This window comes from Homo sapiens, chromosome 11, assembly GCF_000001405.40.
Source record: "Homo sapiens chromosome 11, GRCh38.p14 Primary Assembly".
Lineage (NCBI taxonomy): Eukaryota > Metazoa > Chordata > Mammalia > Primates > Hominidae > Homo > Homo sapiens.
The window spans coordinates 84,221,212-84,238,325 of NC_000011.10; the positions used below are offsets into that span (position 1 = coordinate 84,221,212).

Consider the following 17,114-nt stretch of genomic DNA (forward strand, 5'->3'; position numbering starts at 1 on the left):
TCCCAGCACTTTGGGAGGCCAAGGTGGGTGGATCATGAGGTCAGGAGTTCAAGACCAGCCTGGCCAACATAGTGAAACCCCATCTATACTAAAAATACAAAAATTAGCCAGGCATGGTGGCACGCGCCTGTAGTCCCAGCTACTCAGGAGGCTGAGGCAGGAGAATCGCTTGAACCTAGGAGGTGGAGGCTGTGGTGAGCTGAGATCGCACCACTGCACTCCAGTCTGGGCAACAGAGTGAGATTCCATCTCAAATAATAATAATAATAATATTAAGAAGCAGCTATTCTCAATTAATGCTATCTATGTAAAGTGCTAAGTAGCAAAGTTTCTTTGTTTCCTCCAGGCCATTTTCTATCAAAAGTTTCCTTCTAGCTGGCTGCCCAGTTTAAGTCACCTGTACAGCATTTTAAGAAAATTTTCTTATCATGTCAGATCCTATTATCAAGAAGAATGTTCAACTTTTAAAGAAAATATCAGCTAATATTTTCTTTTACGTGAATTGGGAGTTGGGGTTAGCATTACAATTTGAAGGCAAGGACTCTCTTTGCTTATCCACAGTGACTACTGCCACGTTTGTCTCATGTAAAGAACTTAGCAAGTGCTTACTAAGTGAAGGAATGATAGATAAATTTGGCCCTCAGATAACATTAAAATTGAAATATATACACAATTATATTTAATATTTTTTATAACTTCTAAGCATTTATAGATATTATGTTATTAGATAAATTACTAAAAACTAATAGTAACAATATTAGCATAATAATACTATATTAAAATTAACATAGCAATGTATTACAGGTAAAATTTAAGTTCTATTTTTTTTATTTTTTTTTAAACAGACTTTCACTCTTGTTGCCCAGGCTGGAGTGCAATGGTGCGATCTCGGCTCACTGCAACCTCCACCTCCTGGGTTCAAGCGATTCTCCTGCCTCAGCCTCCCAAGTAGCTGGTATTACAGGCATGTGCCACCACACCTGGCTAATTTTTTGTATTTAGTAGAGATGGGGTTTCACCATGTTGGCCAGTCTGATCTCGAACTCCTGTCCTCAGGTGATCCACCTGCCTTGGCCTCCCAAAGTGCTGGGATTACAGGTGTATGCCACCATGCCCGGCCAAGTTCTGGTATTTATATAAATATTACTTTCTGATGACATTTAATTGAGACACTGTACTATAATATCTTTTTTACCTTTTTACATCTATGACTACAATTCAGAATTCAAATACGATTCATAAATAAGGCATATGACAAGGAAGACATAAGAAAGGGCTATAAAATGTCGATTTTCTCTTCCTTAGATACTTAACAACAATTATAGTACTATCTAAAATCTTTTCTGAGCAGGAAATTTTACAAAATATTTTGCACATGTATCACCTAACCTTATGTCACCACAGCTTGGAAGATGAGTAGCAGTATTCTGCTCTTATAGCCTGAGAACCTGAGGCTCACCTGGAGAGATCAGTGGATGTGTACAAAGTCACACAATGTAGCTTCCACTTACCCCACTCTCATCAATTTATAAAAATTCACTCTAGAGCTTAATGATGGATGCAGAAAGATAGGTTTAAAACTAATTTACTGACTATTAAAAATCCTATTAATTGGAAAGATACTAAGAGCAGATCACCAATTTGGTAAAACTGCAAATGAACAAAAAAAGTGATAAAATCCTTGGCTAATGTGTGGCATAATGAAGATGTTAATGAGTTTAATACTTGGGTATATTTTGTGAAACTCATCATGTTTGCATAAGAGCAACTTATAGCTCGTCCTTTGGTTGTTAAACCTTCCTCCAGTGTGGTGAGTACAACTGGGTCAGGTTCCTGGACAGGCCAAAATGTAGTAGGATCTATTATTGTTCAGCTCCCAAATAATATTAAGATAAGCACTAACTGGGACTTATAAGGAATGATTCAATACTGAGATGGGATGTCAACAGGATTTGTCATGCTTCCTTGTGTAGGGCTCTCTAAAAACAGGACTTACTGTCCAGTAGTGAGGTAGGAGTTGAGAGTAGTCAGACCAAGTAGCATCATGGAATCGAGTAAAATGCTTTTGCCCTTGATAAGACATTGATTGAGAGAGAATAATGTGTTTTTCTGCGCATGGGATTCTAAACAATATATTTTCTAAAAAAAATTAACTGCTGGTAAGATATTTCTCTGTGTTTTCTAGCCACTAAGATCCACTTTTATTACCCTACGTACAATGACCAGAGTGTCATGTTACTTGGTGGTGGGTCACAGCCAGCCCATCACAACCTCCTGTTTCTGCCTGTGCTCAGAGGCACACATGTCTTTCTCATAAGATCATTAATTGGGAAAATTTATGTGACTTTTTTTTTTTTTTTTTTGAGGCAGAGTCTCACTCTGTCATCCAGGCTGGATTGCAGTGGCACAATATTGGCTCACTGCAACCTCCGCCTCCTGGGTTCAACAGATTCTCCTGCCTCAGCCTCCCAAGTAGCTGGGACTACAGGCGCATGTCACCATGCCCAGCTAATTTCTGTATTTTTAGTAGCGATGGGGTTTCGGCATGTTGGCCAGGCTGGCCTCAAACTCCTGACCTCAGGTGATCTGGCCCCTCAGCCTCCCAAAGTTCTGGGATTACAGGCAGGAGCCAGTGCATCTGGCAAAAATTATGCACCTTTTAATCATGCACAAATATAAAGACCCCATCCTCTCTTCCACTCCTTCCCTGGCACACATGCTTATATTAGCCCATTAAGGAACCCAGCCTACTTTAATGGAGGCCTGCCTTTCCACTCAAGGGTGAGGGTTTAGGCCTCCAGGTTTATGGCAGAAAGACGTAGAGGGTGGAGGACAGAGTGCTTCCCCACCCATGCAACTTCCTGCCTTCCCCTAACTCCTCCCACATTGTCTGTCCCCACTGTTCCCCAGACATAACTGGCTATAAGGTTATGAAGACTTTGAGGAAGGATGCAGCAGAGAGTTCTGACCTATGCTAGAAGAAGTTGAGAGCGGTTATTTCCAGATTCCTGAGAGGTCCAGGCATTGACTGAAGTTGCATCAGTGAGAAGCTTAGCCAGCTAACAGTCAGATGCCCCAGTTGAGTCCAGTCAATCCTAGGCTGCTTTTGTTACACTGAACCAGCCTGACAAACCTCCTAAGGTCTTAAGAGGCTGTTTGTTTGATCTTTCAATTTCTACTTCACATTTTTCTTAGGAATTATTGAATAAAATAGTAAGTTAGAATGTCAGAATAAAAGATAAATGGTCTTGCAGCTGTGTACATCATTTCCTAGGAATTGGCTGGGGAAAATCATGATAATGACAGCTAAGACATACACTTTGTACTATGTGCCAGGCACTTTTCTCAATATTTTATACATATTAACTGATGTCATTCTTAATCCTATGTGATAGATATTATTATTACCCCCAACTCACAGAAAAAGAAACTAAGTCCCTGCTCAAGGTCACACAGGTTGCAGAACCTAAATTCAAATCCCTGCAGTTTGGCTTGAGTCAATGCTCTTAACTATTATACCATGCGCTCTACTGCTGCAGGAACAGCCACCTGTTCTGCATCCTCTCACTGTTTCTAATCTTACGGATCTTATTCCTGAAACACCAAACTGAAAACAGTTTACTGAATTACCTATCCTTTTTCATGTATCTGATCTTTCTTTGTATATGACTGTCTTATCCCCATGGATTGTTCTTCCCCCAAGTCCCCTCTCCTTTGAAGACAATTTCTTGCCCTTTAAATTTAGTTTACAAAGATGATTTGCCTTTCCTGAACTCCTAAACAATACTAATTACTCCCTTGTTTGCATTCCAGTGTACTTCTTACTCCCTCTTCACAGTTACCATACTAAGTTTTGTTGGTCTGTTTACATATCTTTATCATCTACAAATCTAAGGCCTTCTTGAAGCCATAGTCTCTATCTCATTCCTCTTTGTTGCATCAGTACCTCAGCTAAGGTCTGGCACACAGTAAAGTCCCTCAGTGAATATTTCTGTAATACATTAATGGATTATTAATAACATATTTGAATAGCATTTGAGAGCTTCTAATATGTTTTCTATGCATTCCCTTATTTATCTAAGTAGACAAACATGCATATCACACACACATACTGTACAACAGAGATTATTCAGCTTCATTTGACAACTGAGAAAGCTAGGTTCAGGGAAGTTGGTCACAGTTTCTCCAACTTAAAATCCTGCTCTGTATATCTGGAGACAGTTGTTCCCAAAACCAGGAAGATCTCGTGTCACGATTTTTAATTGTCCTGAATGACCTGCTCGATGGTGCTCACAATATTCTAGTATTGATTATTCCACTAGAATATCATTCAAGGGCAGTCGTTTCCTTTAGTGGACTCTCTTGCTATCAGTGATGCCACTGTGATAGAATAAGAACAGTGACAGGACATTTAAACTCTCATTCCTCCCTATCGTGTCCTTTTCCCCAATGTATGTTCTTTAGAGGACAAAAATTCTCTATATTTTTCATCTTTATGCATTCCATACCATTAATCACACTCTATATAGAGAAGGTACTCCAAAATATATTTCTTAAATAAATATATAACATGAAACATTTTCTTTTGTCTTTTTTTTTTTTTCCCCTGGGATGGAGTCTTGCTTTGCTCACTTTGTTGCCCAGGCCGAAGTGCAGTGGCACAATCTCAGCTCACTGTAACCTCCTCTTCCAGAGTTCAAGCAATTCTGCTGCCTCAGCCTAACAAGTAGCTGGGATTACAGGCACAGGCCACCACGCCTGGCTAATTTTTGTATTTTTAGTAGAGACGGAGTTTCCCCATGTTGGCCAGGCTGGTGTCAAACTCCTGACCTCAAGTGATCCGCCTGCCTTGGCCTCCCAAAGCGTTGGGATTACAGGCGTGAGCTGCTGCACCCAGCCTAAACATTTTCTTTGGATAGTTTATTGTTTATCTTTTATTTAAAATTTGGTTAGACTTCTAACTAATTTTTAACCAGGGTTCGCACATTTTTTAAGTCCCTAACATAAATATTTTTTGTGCTATGATGTTACTAGGGATGATATTTATTTAATTTTACTTCTTGGTTTTCATTTGTTTGTAACAGCAGATTACAGATTCTCTGTTAATTCAGCTCTTCAGAGTGGTCTGCCAGCATGTCTAACCACTCAGCTACCTTAAACAGGTACTCCCTAAAAGTAGCATGAAGTTTTAAGAAAGTTAATTGTTCACACAGGACTCGACTCACACATCCTAATTCAGGGATCAAAATGTCACATAAATCCCTAACAATGTGAAGGTAGGTCAAACAAACAGGACTTTAAATTGCAAATAGGTCAGTGGAGGATCAAATAAAAATACTATTTCTAATAACATATGCATTGTACAGTTCATAAACTGACTACTCATACTATGTGCCCAGAAAGTAATTAGGTTCAAGAATGATTTTAAATCAATTTGTTTAATCCTTTTAACTATCAAAAAAACAAAAATAAAAACAATTTACTACAAGTCTGTTTAATCCTGGGGCAGATAAGGAAACAGTGTTTGCCTCAGGGAGTTACAGATATATAAACAAATATGATGTGATGTGTGCAAGTTTAATGTGCCTTGGAATGACTGGGCACAGTGGCTCACATCTGTAATCCTAGCACTTTGGGAGGCCAAGGCAGGCGGCACATGAGGTCAGGAGATCGAGACCATCCTGGCCAACATGGTGAAACCCCGTCTCTACTGAAAATACAAAAATTAGCTGGGTGTGGTGGTGGGCGCCTGTAATCCCAATCACTCCGGAGGCTGGGGCAGGAGAATGGCTTGAACCCAGGAGTCGGAGATTGCAGTGAGCCGAGATCGTGCCACTACACTCCAGCTTGGCAACAGAGCCAGGCTCCATCTTAAAAATTAATTAATTAATTAATTAATTAAAATTTTAAAAAAGTACCTCAGAACAAGGAAGAGGGTGTACATGGTAGGAGGAGGGGTGAGGCTTCATGGAGGAGGTGGCATTTCAGGAGATCCCACTCCAAAAATAAACCACATTTTGACAGGTGAAATGAAAGAAAAAGACATATTAGACGTAGACAAAAATTAGTGCAAAAGCATACAGGTAGAAAAGATCAGAGAATTGCAAAAGGAAATTCTGTGTGATCAGAGGGAATAAGGCCTAGGAAGAGAGACACACAATGGATATGAAGGAAACCAGGCCTTAGAGGAGGTCATGAGTGTATATCATGGAAAACTGCAAAGAGGATTGAACCCCCTTATGTTTGTGCCCCCACTGAGCCATTTATTTTCTTTAATCACAGCATCTGTAAGAATATAGTTATTTGTTCACAATAATCTTATATTAAACTATAATCATCTTGAGGGCAGAAACTACCTCACTTATCTCAGTATTTCAACAGCTAGCCCTGTGCCAGGCAGAGTTGGTGCTTTAAAAAATATGTATATTGGCTGGGTGTGGTGGCTCACACCTGTAATCCCAGCACTTTGGGAGGCCAATGTAGGCGGATCACAAGGTCAGGAGACCACCCTGGCCGACATAATGAAACCTTGTCTCTACTAAAAATACAAAAATTAGCTAGCTGTGGTGGTACACGCCTGTACACCCAGCTGCTCAGGAGGCTGAGGCAGGAGAATCACTTGAACTCGGGAGGCGGAGGTTGCAATGAACTAAGATCACACCACTGCACTATAGCCTGGGCGACAGAGTGAGACTCCATCTCAAAAAAAAAAAAAAAAAAATGTATGTTGACTGAGTAAATTATATTTTTTCACACCACAAAATCTGGACTCAAAGTCTTGGATCTATGGTGGAATGTTGTATTATCTGATTATCTGGTGTTAGATATATTTAAATCAGTATCACAAACTATTTCATGATTGGTTTCCTCTAAAACTCTGACTCATCTGGTTGCATCACTGACATGATGGACTCTCTTATTTCCCTAATGCCCTTAACTATCCATCTCTTCCGTACTCTATCTCCAGCCTCCACTGAACTTGCTTATTTGGAAACATTTTATGGAATTCCCCTATTGCTTTTTTTGGTTAGAGTCAATCATGGCTGTTTTAACTGCATTGGTCATGGACTTACTATGATTAAAAGGGATTTAGGGACTAATTGTTCTCAGTACATTAGTCCTTGACACATTCATCTTGGATCTCATTGGCACTTATTCAATTGGTGCTGTTTGGCAGCTGCTCAATTGTTAGTTATTATCTATCGGGAACAAGACTTTAATCAGAATTTTACTCCCAACTATGTATTGCCAATTTATATGTAGCTCATGCCAATTCAGGGAAAAATAATTCCAAGTGGTTCTTGGAGTTTGGTGAAGTGATCCTAAGAAATGAAGCCCACATATTTCTAAATAAAGTTGGCACATTCGGATGTGATATGATACATGAAAGAAAAGTGGGTTGTTTGAACATTAAAATGCTGGAAACATTTATCATTTTAACAAAGCATAATTTTGAGAGACCAAAATCAAAATTCATAAACACAGGTAAGATAATAACTGTCTTTTAGAATCCAGAAAAAAAATTTAAAGGACTACCCTACTACTGCTTATGCTAATTTCAGCCCAATGCTTGTAATGAAATCATGGCAGGCCAGTGTAGTACATTGGTAAAGCTGGTGGGCTCTGTATTGATGTCGCCTGGCTTCAACTTTAGCTTCAGTGTGCCTAAACTGGGAGCCTTGGGTATAGTTTTAAACATTCTGGGCCTCAGCTTTCTCATTCCTTGAATGAGGTCCACAATCATATCTCCATTAAAAAGCTGTGGTGAGGATCAAATAAATTATCTAAGGAAAAAAACCACTTGGCACAGTTCCTGCTATATCATATGTACTCTATAGATGCTGGGAATTATAATTATATCCTGGTAAGCACTCAAATAACTGAGAGACAAAATGACAAAGTCCTGTAAGAAAGGTCCAGATAAAATTCTTTGGCCATATTGTCTTTCAAATTATTTTTTAATGGAAAAGTTATAAACCAGAAAAAGAAGAAAATGATGCTGGCAGGTATCCCTGTAATAAAAAAGAGCGAACACAGAGAAAGAAAATCAATGGAGGATTTAAAATGTTCTTCTTGCTTTGGCATCTAACCTCCTGCTTCCAAATTTTTTCCAGTATCATGGTTTAACTACTTTAATGAAGCGATGATACCATATTTCTCTTGATCCACGTAACCCAAGTGGTTTACAGAAACAGAGGTCAACAGGGTCAATATTTCTGACTAATATTTTAATTAAATCTCAATAAGTGGGCAGATTCCCAGAATTGATGTAGCGTTGTGATATAGAATAAGAGAAATGGAAAGCAGACTCTCTGAGTGAGCACTTATGTGGTATCTTGTTAAAATGCAGGGATCTTGTTAAAATGCAGATTCAGAAGGTCTGGGTTGGGCCTCAGATCCTACATTTTTACAAGCTCCCAAGTGATGCTAATGCCACTGGTTTGAAGACCCCTCTCTCAAGTAGTAAGGGTTTAGAGCACAGTCACTGCTTGGGTTTGAGTACTGGCTCCTTCTCTTACCAACTACTTGACCTTGGCCACATTAGTTAACTTTTTCTTGTATCATTTTTTAAATCATCAAATGAGGATAAGATCAATATCTAACTATAATGGTGGTTGTGAGGATCAAATTAATTAACACATGTAAAGCATGTAAAACAGTACCCAGTACTGAGTAAGCACTCAATAAATATAAATGATTTTTATGATTAAGTGAAGTTTTCTCATTATAAACATTTAAGCTAGTCAAGAGAGATGAATATCCCAGAATTTTAATCATGTTTAATTCAGCACAATAATTTATTTTAAGGCATTAATGTCAAGAATCACATAAATCTCCACATGTGAAGCTTTGCAAGTTATAATTTTTCAAGCCAATGAACTTAAAGAAGGTAATTTACAATTTTTTTGGTGGTAGCCATACACAAAGGCATGAGCCTGTCATGATAGAACAGTAAACTTCTTCATCTACCTTTTTCATTAAGAAAGAAGAACTAAATATGTTTACAAAATAACTAAGATACAACCTACTAGGAGCCCCACAGCATCATTAGTAGTTTGTTTTCTTCCTGCTCTGTTATTATTCTCTCTCACAACTATAATTATCTGTTGTTTATTATCTCTATCCCTCAACATGAATTTAAACTCCATGAGGGAGGGGCAATGTTGATCTTGTTTGCTGCTATATCTCAGCATCTAGCTTGCCGCATGATATTTGTTATGCCAGTAATAAATAAATGTTTGTAAAAGTATAAAATAAATGAATATGTACCTTAGTTGTACATTTTATTAATTTATTCAAGAATGCATTGAGTAGCTGTGATTTTTTTTCCTGGTTCTAAGTGCTGGGAATTTTTAAATACATAAGACACAGTATGTTCAAGGAGCTTATGGTCTACTTAGGGGAAAGATATGTGAGCACAAAACTGAATACATGATCAACTCCATATGGAAAGCGGATGAATAAGGAAAGAGCTCATAAAGTAGAGGTGGGAGTGAAATAAGAGCTTTCCAGTTAAAGAAAAAAAATTATGCAATTTCACAAAAGTGTGAAACAGTGAGACGAACAGGAAACCTTAGATAGGATATGCACTGGAAATTAACAGTGGAGACAAGGCAAGGTCCAAATCATAAAGACAACATGAGTATCTTCTATAGCAGTATTGGTTATAGTGGAAATACAAGAACTTGAAGAATAAAAAGAATAAACTTCTTCATGAAGGATACTAATAATACTGTTCAGAGAATGTAGCAAAGACAATTAACTACCTCAGAATATACATTGTCTTCTTCTCATTAGAAATTGTTACCCTGCTAAAAAATTAAACACACTAGCGTCTCTCAGCTAGGTATAGACACGGGATTGTCTTCAACCAATGGATGAATTGATTCTTCTGGGTAACTTCTGGAAGTGTCCTTAAAGGTGAAGAGCACAACCTTCTTATTGTCCCTTCTTACTTCCTGAAATGTAATATAATGGTTGGCGCTACAGCAGCTATTTGAACCATTAGGTAACCTAGCAAAAGGGAGCCTCAAGCTATGATGTTAGAAGAGTTAAATAGAATGATGCTGGATCTTAACTATGGAGCACCTTACAAGCCATGGGTTGTCTAGCTTACAACTTCATTTACATGAGGGGAAAAAAATCATTTTTTCTCACTGATTTTGTCACTCTTACTTTGGGAGTTGTATGCCACTGATCCTAATTCTCAGTGATACAACTACAGAAATGGGGAAGTGCTTCAAGAATGACTGGCTTTTGAAGTAGATACTGAAGGACGGGTAGGAGATTATCAGGTACAAAATAAGAGATTGGGCATTAAAGAAGGGCTATTGTGTTCATGGAAATCATCAAGAATACAGTGTATTCAGGAAACTGGGAGAACTGTGTAGTGGAATCATAGGGAATATTGTGTGAAAGGAATGGAGGAAGATAAGGCACCAGTAAAAACTCTGAAATATCATACTAGTGAGTTTATATTTTATGAGTCAATGCAAGACCACTGAAAACTTTCAGGTAGTTAAAAGATGGGACCATAGGTAGTTTTCTGGAATAAGAACTCAGAGAGCTATGTGGACAGGAGGAAGGAAAATCAAAATCAGAGAGACAAGTTCAGAGGCAAATGAGGGAGTCCAGGAGAGTAGTAGACCAAGGGTCTTGACAATGAAGAAGAAGATAGCACAGAGACAGGACACATTTAGCAAACATACTATGTAAGGATTACTGATCACATACACACCAGGACAGAAAGACTCCCAGAAATGTAATGTGAGTTGAGTTGATAGTGAGGTAATTTACCACCAAGATGGGGAAGGAAGAGAAACAAACAACATAGAAACTAAAGCCAGACTATGTGAAATAAGGAAAAAAATATATATAAAAGAAAAACTGCAACACAAGGATCTGTGCGCAGTAGGATTTCTCTTGTATTCAGGTTACAATTCTCGTATCACCTTCTCCAAGAGATCTTTGCCATACTATCTTTCTAAAGAAGCCACTGCACTTCCCTCCCCTCAAAGCACTTTGCTTCATTTTTTTCAGAGCGCTTACTATTTTATAGCTTCCTTTTTGTTTGTTACCTACTTTGACAAGAATGAAAGCTCATAATTTCCACAAGAGTGGAAATTATGTCTTGCTTACAGTAAACCTAGGTAACAGTACCTGGCACAAGTAGGCATTCAAGAACTTTTATTACATGAGTTAATCAAATTACCTTGGAGTTGTTTGAAATTCAGAGATTTCTACGGACTGAATCACCCTAAAATTTTACCCCCCTAAAATTCATATACTGAAATCCTAATTCCCAACAGAATTTTCAGATGGGGACAATGGGAGACCATTAGGTTATGAGGTGGAGCCCTCATTATGGGATTAGAGTTCTTAGAAGAAGATGAAGGAAAGAGCTTGCTTCCCACTCTCTGCTCTTCTCTATGTGAGGACACAGCAGAAGGATGGTTATCTGCAAACCAGCAAGACAGGCCTCACCAGAACCAAACCATGCTGGCACCCTGATCTCAGACTTCCCAGTCAGCATGATAAGAAATAAATTTATGTTATTTAAGCCACCCAGTCTTCAGTATTCTGCTATACTAGTCTGAACTAAAAGAGAGTTTATAAATAAGAATAAAATATTGAAGAGATCAAGGCCATGATATAGGAGAGCTCCCCCATCTGATGAATGACAAGGAAGCTTAGTTCCAGCAATGCCCATAAAGACCTGCCCAACAGAAAATAACCATTTAGGTGGGAGGAATCAGAGGGCCTGAGCACAAGTCCAATTTGCCATTACAAAATGATATGAACTTGGAAACTTCACAACCTCAAAGCACCTTTCAGTTTCCTTAGCTAAAAAACGATAGCTTCCTCCACAATTTTGAGAACTAATTAAAGTAACATGGATGAAAGTGTTATAGTAGGTAGCTAGTCAGACATGAGCAGGGCAGGAGAGACCTCCTCCCTAGCCACAACCCCTACTACTAGAAATGTCAGGTAACCATCAGGTGATGGTCAGGTAGTTAACCGCTACTCTAAAATAATAATTGGTCACAGTCAGTGATACAGGAGGTAGAAAGAAATTGTTTAGGCAGATAGTGAGGGCAAAGAGTCCTTGGCAGAGCGTCCCTTCTAGCAAAACGCAGCCCAAGAAATTATTTTTCTCCTAATAAAGAGCAGCCTGAAAAATCAAGCTGAAAACATAAATAAGCAAGCTGGAAGCTTGCACAGGGGAATGCTGGCAGCTGTGCCAATAGAAAAGGGCTAGCTGGGGGCCAGGCATGTCCAACATGGATGCTCCATCTTCCCTTTCTTTGCTACCACATGTACAGGAACAAAGAAATGGGTAACATGGCATAGCTCAGGCAGAGAACCTGCCTGCAGGATAAAAGATTAGGGTGGGGCCTACAAAAAATTCATCCCCTGTGCAAATGGCACACCTGGTCTAACCAGTTTTTTGCACCCTATGTAAATCAGACACTGCCTCCTCACCAGCTCATCTGTGAACCCCAATGCATTTCACCACAGATCCAGCAACCCACTTTTCTGGAACCCCTTTCTGCAGGAAAGAGCTATTCTCTTTCTTTCGCCTATTAAACTTCCACTCTCAATCTCACTTTTTGTGCGTCTGCATCCTTGTCATCTGTGAGACAGTAAATCTCAGTTGTTACTCCAGACAACAAGGCCGTTTCACCAGTGTCAGGGAAAGGCAGCTTCCCAATAAATAGCAAAAACCTGACACTGGTGATCAGCAGCTTCCTGACAAGATCTTAGGAGCTGGCAGAGTGGGCTCAAAGATACACATTAAGAGGCAAAGTGGCATTTTAACTGGCATAGGACCTTCTAGGGACATTGGGCTGGTAAGGGAAGAATGCCTCACATGCAGCACCTGCTCCCCTCCCAACTGCTGACAGGCCACTGCACATGTGGACAGCCCACCCCGAGGGAAGAATCATGGGGGAAGAGATGCAAGACCCTGAAAGGATGCCAACAACATATAAAACCCCAAGTCAAAAGATCAAGCCGTGCACATGATCTCTCAAATTGCCCACTTGGCCAGCCTCCAAGTGTATTTCCTTTCATTCCCACTCTAAAGCTTTTTAATAAACTTTCACTCCTGCTGTAAAACTTGCCTTGGTCCCTCCTTCTGCCTTCTGCCCATCAGTTGAATTCTTTCTTCTGAGAAGGCAAGAATTGAGGTTGCTGCAGAACCCCGTATGGATTCACCACTGCTAACGAAAGTGCGTTGGTTCAGGACTTTCACCCCATGTGTCCCAGATCACTCTCAACTTCTAATTATTATGTATTAGACAAAGTGACATCACTAATGTAAACCAAAAATAAAATTCTAAGCCCCCCAACCAACCAAATGGACCCCTCCTCCAAGCCAAGTGCATTCTAAAGTAAACCCAAAACACTAGTTCAGGCCATGATGGGAATGGGTGGTTGGACATGCTTCATTAATCCCTCCTCCTCCTCCCGTTGGAATTCAGGCACAGCTGACCAGCATTAACGTTACAATAGAAGACTGACAAAGCTGACTATTTAGAGTAATAAAATACCAACATGACAGAGAGCAGGCCCTGAAAGAAATTAAAGCATCTTACCCCAAAATATATTTATTTGACATAATTTGAAATGGCCACACAAAGTTTTCTCTTATGGGGAAAATCTACATTCTGTAGAAAATCCCCTCCCCTTTCCAGGACTTTTTCATGATCCAAGAGAGAATTAACTAAGAGTCTGGCACCTTTTAAAGCCTGATAAGAAACATTTACAATCTATTATTCGCTGTGAAGCCTGCGGCCTGGAAGCTTCACCTGCCTAATAAGAACCTTGGTCTCCACAACCTCTTACCTTAACCCAGGCACTCCCTTCTATTCATTCCAGGTCTTTAGATAAACTCTTTCAACCAATGCCAATCAGAAAATCTTTGAATCCACCTACCAACTGAAAGCCCACCCCCTACTCTCTTCAAGTTGTTCCACTTTTTTGGACTGAACCAATGGACTGAACAAACAAATGTATTGATTGATATCTTATGTCTCCATAAAATGTATAAAACCAAACTGTAGCCTGACCATCTTGGGCACATGTTCTCAGGGTCTCCTGGAGCTGTATCGAGGGCCGTAGGTTTCATATTTGATTCAGAATAAATCTCTTCAAATACTTTACAGAGTTTGACCCTTTTTGATGACACTAACTGCATTTTAAAGATCTCTTCTCAGCACTTTGAGAGCCTAAGGCAGAAGGATCACTTGAGCCCAGGAGCTTGAGGTTGCAGTGAGACATGATAGCACCACTGTACTCTAGTCTAGGTGACAGAGGGAGAACCTGTCTTAAAAAAAAAAATCTCTTCCCAGGTTGACTTTAAACTTTCACAACATGTATACTCGCAAATTTCCTGTCAACCACAATCTCGAACAATGTGTTTCTCTTTGTAGCACTTCAACCTTTTATTAATGAAGTGTTCAACAACACTGTGCTGGACCTTAGTTGCTTTTAAGTGTCTCCTTCAGTCTGTTAAATAATTTAGCAAATTAACTTTTATTACAACTACCGAGAGGCAGGGTAGTATAATGCTATTCTTATTACAAGCCCCTTACTATCTGCTGTGTGACCTTGGATAAGTTATTAATCTCTTTGCCTACAACTTCTTACCTATAGAAGTAACAATAATATACTTTGTATGGTTACTGTGAAGATTGAATAAATTAACATATGTACAAAATTTTAATAGTGCCTAGAGTATGGTTCAGTAATAGCTATTTTTATTCCTACAATGACATTGTTCAGATCATTTTCATATCTGTACTGTGAGATATTTCCACCTTTCTCCATTTTATTAAAAAAAAAAAAAAACAACTAAGGCTCAGAGAGCTTAAGTAATTTCCTCAAGTTCACAAAAGAGAGAGTTAGTTCTCTTAGATGCCAAGTCTGTGCCCTTGGCCATACCAAAATAACATTCCATTTTAAAGAATCCAGATAATTTCACTATCAAAGCATAAATTTATTAAATCAAACTGCCATCGAATAAACCTGAGTTAAATAAACTTTTGGCCATTGTCCTTCTTAAAGTATGTGCAATAGACATTCAAAGACAGGGAAATATCAGTGAGGTTGGTTGTCAGAGAAAGCTTCTGGTGGACTTGGGCAGGGTTTTGATATTTGATTTTTTTCTTACATTGAGCCTCAGGTTCTACAATAACCTACCTCAAGGTCAACCCCAGTCTAGTTTTCAGCTGTAGTTTGGCTTGCAAATTTCTTCTCTCAGTATTTTTGGGGGCCCTTAGGCCAAACTGCTAAAGCACAGGCCATGACTCCTTTTTTAATAAACCCAATTACAACTCATAAATGGTGACATGTGTCAGCAGAACAACCCTTGGAGGGGTGTTTCATTAACTTGATCAAGTCTGAGCCTGAGGGCATGTGCCTTGCATAGCTAGCTAGCTTTCTTAGCAGTAGCTGTGTCTGTTACCAAGTTAACAGGTGGCAGCTCAGTTTATTGCCTATATAATAAGCACACTAACCCAACCACCCATTTCTGTTGGAAGGCCTTCCCAGAATCATAGTAGGTTAGCAGGTTAGAAGAACTAGATGCTTTAACTTAGTTATTTAGTTATTTATCACTTGGAGAGATTTTTTAACATCCCAATTCTTATACCCAGACTCAGACCCATTAAACAGGAATCTTTATTCCTGGGGTTGAAGCATCAGTATGTTTTTTTTTTTGTTTTTTTTTTTGAGATGGAGTCTCACTCTGTCACTCAGGCTAGTGTGCAGTGGCATCATCTCGGCTCACTGCAACCTCCGCCTCCCGGGTTCCAGCGATTCCCCTGCCTCAGCCTCCTGAGTAGCTGAGACTACAGGCGCGTGCCACCACCCCCGGCTAATTTTTTGTATTTTTAGTAGAGACGGGGTTTCACTGTGTTGTCCACGATGGTCTCCATCTCCTGACCTCGTGATTCGCCTGCCTCGGCCTCCCAAAGTCCTGGGATTACAGGTGTGAGCCACTGTGCCCAGCCCAGCATCAGTATTTTTGAAGCGGGAAGCAATTACAATGTGGGGGCAAGGTTGAGAGCCACTGCTTTGAGACATCAGCAAAAGTATTAGCAATTTGCTTTAAAAACAAGAAAACCACGAAAATTTCCTGAGATTGTCTTTAAAGAGATACTGATTATAATGCGCTATTGTTTATTCGTTCCTCTCAGCATGCCATTTGACCTATCTGAATTTGTTATTTCATTACTACTTTTCCTTCATGTGACAGCTCATTAGATTGGTAATGTTTCAGTTTTATGCTACTGAGTTTCCAAAATAAAATACTTGGGGGCAAAACATCATTTAGGGCACTTGGTAGAAATTAGGATAATCAAAATGCATTTCCATTAATGCTGTTCATGAAGAGGAAACTATACTTTGTCACCAAAAGTAAAGTTCATCAAAGTTCATCCAGCTCTTCGTGTATTTAAACAAACTTGGAACTTCCAAGTGACAACTGAGGGGAAGTAATTTAGGGCTGAGATATGATACACTTAGAAAAGGAAAGACACAGCCGGGCATGGTGGCTTATGCCTATAATCCCAGCACTTTGGGAGGCTGAAGCAGGTGGATCATGAGGTCAAGCGTTCAAGACCAGCCTGGCCAACACAGTGAAACCCTGTCTTTACTAAAAAGAAAGAGAAAAAATTAGCCGGGTGTGGTGGTGGGGCACCTGTAATCCCAGCTACTCAGGAGGCTGAGGCAAGAGAATCGCTTGAACCCGGGAGGCAGAGGTTGCAGTGAGCCGAGAGATCACACCACTGCACTCCAGCCCGGGCGACAGGGCAAGACTCTGCCTAAAAAAAAAAAAAAAAAAAAAAGAAAGAAAAGAAAAGAAAAAGAAAGACACTAGAGGGAAGTCAGTCACTGAAACAAGGTAGCTGCAAGGTAGCTGTCTGATTTCACAGAGAAAAATACCTATAGTTATCCCTCAGGAACTGGCCCCTAAAAAATATCAGTGTCAAAAAGTCAATTTAAAAGCCCAGCAAGGCCAGGCATGGAGGCTTACACCTGTCATTCCAATACTTTGAGAGGCCGAGGTGTGCGGATTGCTTGAGCCTGGGAATTCAAGACCAGCCTGG

At 39.6% G+C, this 17,114-nt stretch overlaps 1 protein-coding gene across 52 annotated transcripts in view; it reads right to left on the reverse strand.

Moving 5' to 3' along the window:
* DLG2 (discs large MAGUK scaffold protein 2) overlaps positions 1–17,114 on the reverse strand; it is a 2,173,362-nt gene that overhangs the window by 766,200 nt on the left and 1,390,048 nt on the right. The gene's annotated exons all lie outside the window — the stretch shown is intronic.